Source organism: Homo sapiens, chromosome 11 (genome assembly GCF_000001405.40).
Source record: "Homo sapiens chromosome 11, GRCh38.p14 Primary Assembly".
NCBI lineage: Eukaryota > Metazoa > Chordata > Mammalia > Primates > Hominidae > Homo > Homo sapiens.
In genome coordinates, this window is record NC_000011.10 from 832572 (window position 1) to 839632 (window position 7061).

Consider the following 7061-nt stretch of genomic DNA (forward strand, 5'->3'; position numbering starts at 1 on the left):
CCCCAGGCCGGCATCGGTTCTGCCGACCCCTGCAGCCTCTGGGCGGTTCCTGGGTGAGGAGAAAGAGATGGGGGTTGGGCATGGAGGAGGGCCGGGTCGCCACAGCCCAGGGCCTCTGGCTAGGCTGGTCGCCGTCTTACCTCCGGGCCCGCCTCCCGCCCAGCTCCTCCGTCCTTGGACGGGATGGGCCCTTGCTGGGCTATTGGCGCCCCCAGGGCTGCAGCTCGCCCGGCCTCCGCAGTGCCAGGTCGACCCCCAGCGCCTACACCCACGCGGGTTCAGACCTGCCGAGCGCCCGCCGCCGCGGGAGGGGCTTGAGGCCGGGGCGGGGCCGGGGCGGGGCGGGGCGGGGCGTCCCCCTCGTAGGCTCCGGGCCGCGCATTCTCAGCGCTGGGAGCCGCCGCCCCCGCAGCTGCTGCCGCCGCCGCCAGGGCCCGGACTCGGACGCGTGGTAGGTGAGTGCGCGGCCACGACAGCTCGGCCGAGCGGGGCGAGCGGGGCGAGGGGGGCGAGGGGCGCGAGGGGGGCGAGGGGCGCGAGGGGGCCGAAGGCCCTGCGCGCCCCAGCCCCGGAGGCCCAGCCGCAGGCGCCGGGAGGTTCCGGGAGGCCGCACCCACCGCCTGGCCCAGCTCCCTCGCCTGCCCCAGCTCCCTCGCCTGCCCTTCCGCGGGAGGCGGACTCCGGGCGGGTTGGGGAGGCGCAGCGGGAAGGAGAGGCGCCTCCCGGGCCCTTGGACCGGCCTGACGGCCCCCTTCAGCCCAGGGGTCCCGGGACGCGCAGCCTGGACACCCTGCTCATTGTCCCTGGACACGGCAGTCTTCCCTCCGCCCGCAGCAGCCCCCGCCCGCGTGCAAGTGGGCGCGCCATTGGCCGCGCCGGGCGGGGTCGGCGGCGGCGGTGACCTCATTGCAGTGCCCCGGGGACGCTTGGCAGGCGCGGAGTCCCAGGTCCCCCTGACTGGGGCTCCCCCTGATAGGGCGCGGGCCGCCCAGGGGCCTGGTGCAGGTCCCGGGGACTTGGGGAGGAACAGACAACTATTTCTGGAAGGCCCTTTCCCAGGGGGTCCAGAGGGACCAGGCATTCCTGGGAAGAGGGGCCACTCCTCAGCGGGTCGCCTGTGTCCTCGCGGTGGAGGACGCATCTGTGCCCAGAACCAACTTCTCCAGAAAGCCTGGGACCTTACAGCCAGGCCAGGGGCAGGTCCTTGAGGGGCTCACACATCCCCCCATCGGTGGCAGACGCACACCCCGCCCCCCGGTGGCAGACACATCCCCCCGCTGGTGGCAGGGTCTGCCTGTGCCACCCTTCCTGCGTGTATTTAGGCCCTGGCTCCTTCATGGAGGGTGAATATCCCCTCTCAGCTCAGTGGTAAGGTCTGTCCCCCTCCAGCTCCATTCCATGATGCCTCTTTCCCAGGCTGTAGCTGCCGCTGTTTGTGGGGGAAGGGCCAGTGATGGGTCTGGAGCGAAGGCCAAGAGTGGGGCACCTGGGGGAAGGTATGAGGTCCCTCCCAGGATCAGACTGTCCCGAAATGTCGTCTGCCTTGGGAGGCCAAGGCGGGTGGAACATCTAAGGTCAGGAGTTCGAGACCAGCCTGGTCCACATGGTGAAACTCTGTCTGTACTAAAAATACAAACATTAGCTGGGCGTGGTGGTGGGTGCCTGTAATCCCAGTGACTCAGGAGGCTGAGGCAGGAGAATTGCTTGAACTCAGGAGGCGGAGGTTGCAGTGAGCTGAGATCGTGCCATTGCACTCCAGCCTGGGTGACAGAGCGAAACTCCATCTCAAAAAAAGAAAAAAAGAAAAAAACAAAATGTCTTGTGCCTTGCCCCACCCTAGCCCAGACTAAAATACCGGGCTTGGCCACTCCTCTCTCTGCCTCCAGAATGAACCCGGCCCACTCTGGCCCTTGGGCCAGACCTGTAACCTGTGACCTGACATGTCCTTGCCCCTCTAGCCTAGAGTCCTGGGGAGCTTCTGTCCACCTGTCCTGCAGAGGAGTCGTTTCCAGCCCGGCTGGTGAGTGCTGGCCAGGGTGGGGCAGAGCAGGCGGGGCGGCGAAAGTCCAGACCTGGCTGTGCTGTCTGGAAACGTGGCCCAGGGCGCTCAGCTGCTGTCTGCACCCCACGCCCTCCCTGGCTTCCCCATGCTCACAGCTTGCCCACTGCTGCAGGTCGGGCGGGCACGGGGCATCTGGGGAGGGGCATAGCCTGTCTGTGCTGCCCCCTCAGGTTGGTGTGGGTCGCCTGTCCAGGAAAAACCCTCCCAGTCTGCCAGGCTCCACCTGCCTCCACGCTCCATTCTCCCCACCCCGGCCAGGATGAAGGAAGGGCTGCCCTTTAACAGACCGTAAACAGGCCTGGAGAGCTTAGGAAGGGGCTGAGCTGGGGCCTGTCTGAGCCCCTACCCCTCTGCTGTCTGAGTGGCCTCCTCCGCCCTTACTGCAGGCCCATAGGCTCCTGCCAGCCTGTGACGTGCGGCCCCGGGAATGCCGTGGGGAGCGGGCAGGCTGGCATGAGCTCACCGGAGGTACCCGCTAGGGCTTCCTCCCCCGGCCGCTAGCAGGGGTGAGTCAGCAGTGATGGCGGGAGGTCCTCCATGACCCCTGTCCTGTCTGTGGGCACCAGGGGTCTGTCCTGGCTGTCAGGGCTCCTGAGTCGCTAGGAAGTGACACGTCCTGTTCCCACAGGGGCTCATTCACAGGCCTCCCAGGACAGTGGCTGGCTCTGCCCCGACTTCTGGGCTGGCTTGGGTATCTGTGTCCCCTCTTTTTTTTCTTTTTTATTGAGATGGAGTCTCACTGTCGCCCAGCCTGGAGTGCAGTGGCACCATCTCGGCTCACTGCAAGCTCCGCCTCCCGGGTTCATGCCATTCTCCTGCCTCAGCCTCCCAAGTAGCTGGGACCACAGGCGCCCACCATCACGCCCAGTTAATTTTTGTATATTTTTGATGGAGATGGGGTTTCACCACAATGGCCAGGCTGGTTGTGAACTCCCGACCTCAAGTGATTGCACCTGCCTTGGCCTCCCAAAGTGCTGGCATTATAGGCATGAGACACCGCACCTGGACTCCTTTCCTCTACTTTCTTTGGGTTAATTTGCTAGTCTCTTTTTATTATTTATTTATTTATTTTGAGATGGAGTCTCACTCTGTCGCCCAGGCTGGAGTGCAGTGGCACCATCTCGGCTCACTGCAAGCTTCGCCTCCCGGGTTCACGCCATTCTCCTGCCTCAGCCTCCCAAGTAGCTGGGACTACAGGCGCCCGCCACCACGCCCGGCTAATTTTTTGTATTTCTAGTACAGACGGGGTTTCACCGTGTTAGCCAGGATGGTCTTGATCTCCTGACCTTGTGATCTGCCTGCCTTGGCCCCCCAAAGTGCTGGGATTACAGGCGTGAGCCACCGCGCCTGGCCCTGTGTCCCCTCCTATCCGTCTCCCAGTCAGGGGCCCGGTGCTGTGGCCCCGCTGACCCCTCCCCTGCCTCCTCAGCCCCAGGATGGGTGAGTTCAACGAGAAGAAGACAACATGTGGCACCGTTTGCCTCAAGTACCTGCTGTTTACCTACAATTGCTGCTTCTGGGTGAGGAGGGGTCGCCTTGCCCCCACCCCCACCCCCACCCCTCCCGGGCCACCATCAGACCTGGGCAGATGCGATGACCTTTGTGTACTGCTTGTAGCTGGCTGGCCTGGCTGTCATGGCAGTGGGCATCTGGACGCTGGCCCTCAAGAGTGACTACATCAGCCTGCTGGCCTCAGGCACCTACCTGGCCACAGCCTACATCCTGGTGGTGGCGGGCACTGTCGTCATGGTGACTGGGGTCTTGGGCTGCTGCGCCACCTTCAAGGAGCGTCGGAACCTGCTGCGCCTGGTCAGGAGGGCGCAGGGCCACGGGGTGGGGGTGGTGCAGATGGGCCCAAGGAGGTTGTCGCTGCAGGCTTTGAACCTGTGCCTTGCTGTGCTCACCTGGGGGGGGGGTCACGGTCCTTCCACACCTGCCTAGTCCTGTGGGTCCCCACGTTCCTGCTGGACCAGCTGAGGGAAGACACCAGCTCCGCAAGAAAGCTTCAGGGAGGGTGGCCGCCCCTCAGCCCCCACCTGGAGCCTGGGGAGCCGGGGTGGGGACTCTGCTCTGAGGTGCACTAGGTCTAGGCACTAGGCCTCAGAACAAGGGTGCCCTTGTGCTGCCCCCCCCAGTACTTCATCCTGCTCCTCATCATCTTTCTGCTGGAGATCATCGCTGGTATCCTCGCCTACGCCTACTACCAGCAGGTGAGGGGCCTGGGCAGGCCATTCAGAGACACAGACATGCACAGGCGGGGCGGACACACACACATGCACACGCGTGGCTAGCCCCAACCCCCACCCCCATGGTCCCAGAGCTAACCAATGTGCCACTGGGCCCTGGAGATGGGGTCTAGGTCTCTGCAGGGGCACATGGGGTCAGGCAGGTGTCCAGGGGATCCAGAAGCTCTCTCTGCCTCTGCCGCACTTCATTGTCACCCTGGTGACGGTCCTGGCACCACCCAACCTCCCCTCATGCCGAGGTGTGACCTCAGCCCTTCCCTGTGGCTCTGAGCTGGGCCCCGGGCCTCCCCACCGGCCATCCTGGGGCTCTGCCAGCCCCACCTTGGAAGGTCTTAGACTGAGGCTGAAGTTTCCTGCACCCCAACCCCAGCTGAACACGGAGCTCAAGGAGAACCTGAAGGACACCATGACCAAGCGCTACCACCAGCCGGGCCATGAGGCTGTGACCAGCGCTGTGGACCAGCTGCAGCAGGAGGTGGGTGGGTGGTGCTGGGAGGGCGCGTGCATCCCCAGGGCCTCCCTGGACCTCTGCAGGAGCCTCTGGCCCCAGGTCTCAACCCCAGCCTTGTTCTTGATGCAGTTCCACTGCTGTGGCAGCAACAACTCACAGGACTGGCGAGACAGTGAGTGGATCCGCTCACAGGAGGCCGGTGGCCGTGTGGTCCCAGACAGCTGCTGCAAGACGGTGGTGGCTCTTTGTGGGCAGCGAGACCATGCCTCCAACATCTACAAGGTGGAGGTGGGTGTGCAGCGGGATCATGCCTCCAGTGTCTACGAGGTGGTGGGGGGGCACCCCAGTGACTGGCTGTGGGCAGTGGGACACGCCTCCAATATCTACCAGGAGGTGGGGGGTCACCCCAGTGGCCGGATGTGGGCAGTGAGACCACACCTCCAATATCTACGAGGAAGTGGGTGGGCAGCCCAGTGGCTGGCTGAGCTGTTGGTGGCCTGGCTGCCTAGGTGCTAGGGGTGGGTTTGGCCACACCCTGGAGGCTGGAGGCAGTAGGGGCCAGTGGGAGGTGCCCCCTGGGCCCGCCTTCAACACCCATCCGCGCCCCGCAGGGCGGCTGCATCACCAAGTTGGAGACCTTCATCCAGGAGCACCTGAGGGTCATTGGGGCTGTGGGGATCGGCATTGCCTGTGTGCAGGTGAGGGCACATGGGGGTGGCGGTCATCTTGTTGGGGACACGGGGCAGGGCGGTGGCTGGTGGCCCCATGACGTCTGCTTACGCCCACCCGGCTCTGCACACAGGTCTTTGGCATGATCTTCACGTGCTGCCTGTACAGGAGTCTCAAGCTGGAGCACTACTGACCCTGCCTTGGGCCTTGCTGCTGCTGCACCCAACTACTGAGCTGAGACCACTGAGTACCAGGGGCTGGGCTCCCTGATGACACCCACCCTGTGCCATCACCATAACCTCTGGGGACCCCAACCTCAGAGGCAGCTTCAAGTGCCTTTTGCTGCGCACCAATGCCCAGCAGGGGAGGTGAGGGGGGCTGGCGGGGCGAAGTTTGGGGGGTGTTTTGTGGGGCTCCCCAGACACACTCTCTGCCTGGTGGTCAGATGCAGGTTGGAAGGGGCCTTGCTGAGTGGCGCAAGGCCGAGCGTTCCCAGCAGGGGGAGAAACCCTTCACACCCCAGGCCCTTCAGGAACTGGGGCCTTGCCTTGCAGCCACATGGCCCCATCCCAGTTGGGGAAGCCAGGTGAGCTCTGACCCTTGGGCCTGGGCCTCTGCCCCTCCCAACCCAGCCCTCGTCTCCCTCGACAGCGCCCCTGCTGTCTTCCCCACCGCAGTCACCACCACCCGAAATGCCACGTGGTCACTGTGCACTGCCCTGTTCATGTGCCTCTGCGGGGCAGGGCCTTCCTGGTTTTGTTCACTGCTGTACCCAGATGCCTACAACCATCCCTGCCACATACAGGTGCTCAATAAACACTTGTAGAGCAGATGGACGAGCTCGCTGTGCTGGTAACAGATGGTGGTCTGTTCTCAGGGCCCTCGCATCCAGCAGGGCAGACAGACCCACCCCCGCCCCGCCCAGTGTCAGGACAAAGAAGGGCAGAGCCAGGAGGACACACCCCCCATGGGGCTCCAGGGAAGGGAGGTCTGATGCCAGGGACAGCTGAGCACAGGCCTCAGCAGAAAGAACTGAACATGTTCCTAAATGGTGAGATGGTGTGTTCAGAGCCCCTGGGGGAGAGGAAAAATGGTTTCCAAAACCCTTCTGGCCATGGTGGGGAGCAGACGTGGGAAGGGTGCAGACTGGGGGCCGTGCCCAGGTAAGAGGTGTCAGGCAGGTGGGGTGGGGGCAGTAGGGTGAGGGGGTTTACATGGAGGAGCCTATAGGCCCTGCTGGGGGCCAGAGGGTAGGAGGTACCAGAGCCTGGTGTCTGGCAGAGGTACCCTGGAGATGGGAGCCAGGGCTCGGTCACTGATTGTGCCCCCCACTGCCCAGGTTCCTGTCCTTAAGGCTCAGAACTGTAGACCCTCAGGCAGACCCGTTCTCCCCTACCAGAGGACACCACGCCAGATATCTGGGCAGCAGGGACATCTGACCTGGGGTGCTTGCTGGCAGCACTGCCTGGACAGCAGGGCCTCCTTAGGGCCACCTCCCAACCCAGCTAGGAGCGTCTTAAGGCCTGCCCTCCCTGCTGGGCTTGGGTGGGACGCTCAGGGACAGGCAGCAGTGGGCAGAGGCCAGCAGGTACTGGCAGCCCTGACCACAGCAGAGACTGGGCCCCAGAAAATC

General features: G+C 64.2%; 1 protein-coding gene across 5 annotated transcripts, besides 4 other annotated features; it reads left to right on the top strand.

Annotated features, from left to right (window-relative positions):
- Positions 57 to 706: a silencer, noted in NCBI's record as "silent region_3040". NCBI's record gives its function as "represses an Ori minimal core promoter by ATAC-STARR-seq in GM12878 lymphoblastoid cells {active_cell/tissue: GM12878}" and the evidence as "EXISTENCE:reporter gene assay evidence [ECO:0000049][PMID:35858748]".
- CD151 (CD151 molecule (Raph blood group)) lies at positions 381 to 6260 on the top strand. 5 transcript variants are annotated; one of them, NM_004357.5, is made up of 9 exons: positions 381 to 455; positions 1959 to 2020; positions 3492 to 3582; positions 3680 to 3871; positions 4198 to 4272; positions 4679 to 4783; positions 4889 to 5047; positions 5371 to 5457; positions 5562 to 6260. In NM_004357.5, the coding sequence occupies exons 3-9, from the start codon at positions 3499 to 3501 to the stop codon at positions 5619 to 5621; spliced, it is 762 nt and encodes a 253-aa protein (NP_004348.2). In that variant the 5' UTR covers positions 381 to 455; positions 1959 to 2020; positions 3492 to 3498; the 3' UTR covers positions 5622 to 6260. The 5 variants fall into 5 exon arrangements, with proteins under 5 accessions (NP_004348.2, NP_620598.1, NP_620599.1 ...); NM_139029.2 differs by having other exon boundaries at positions 381 to 451; XM_024448780.2 differs by lacking the exon at positions 381 to 455 and adding an exon at positions 1422 to 1496.
- Positions 717 to 946: a silencer, noted in NCBI's record as "silent region_3041". NCBI's record gives its function as "represses an Ori minimal core promoter by ATAC-STARR-seq in GM12878 lymphoblastoid cells {active_cell/tissue: GM12878}" and the evidence as "EXISTENCE:reporter gene assay evidence [ECO:0000049][PMID:35858748]".
- Positions 1778 to 2317: an enhancer, noted in NCBI's record as "H3K27ac-H3K4me1 hESC enhancer chr11:834349-834888 (GRCh37/hg19 assembly coordinates)". NCBI's record gives its function as "activates a minimal SCP1, AML or CMV promoter by ChIP-STARR-seq in naive H9 embryonic stem cells {active_cell/tissue: H9 hESC(naive)}" and the evidence as "EXISTENCE:reporter gene assay evidence [ECO:0000049][PMID:30033119]".
- Positions 5415 to 6389: an enhancer, noted in NCBI's record as "H3K4me1 hESC enhancer chr11:837986-838960 (GRCh37/hg19 assembly coordinates)". NCBI's record gives its function as "activates a minimal SCP1, AML or CMV promoter by ChIP-STARR-seq in naive H9 embryonic stem cells {active_cell/tissue: H9 hESC(naive)}" and the evidence as "EXISTENCE:reporter gene assay evidence [ECO:0000049][PMID:30033119]".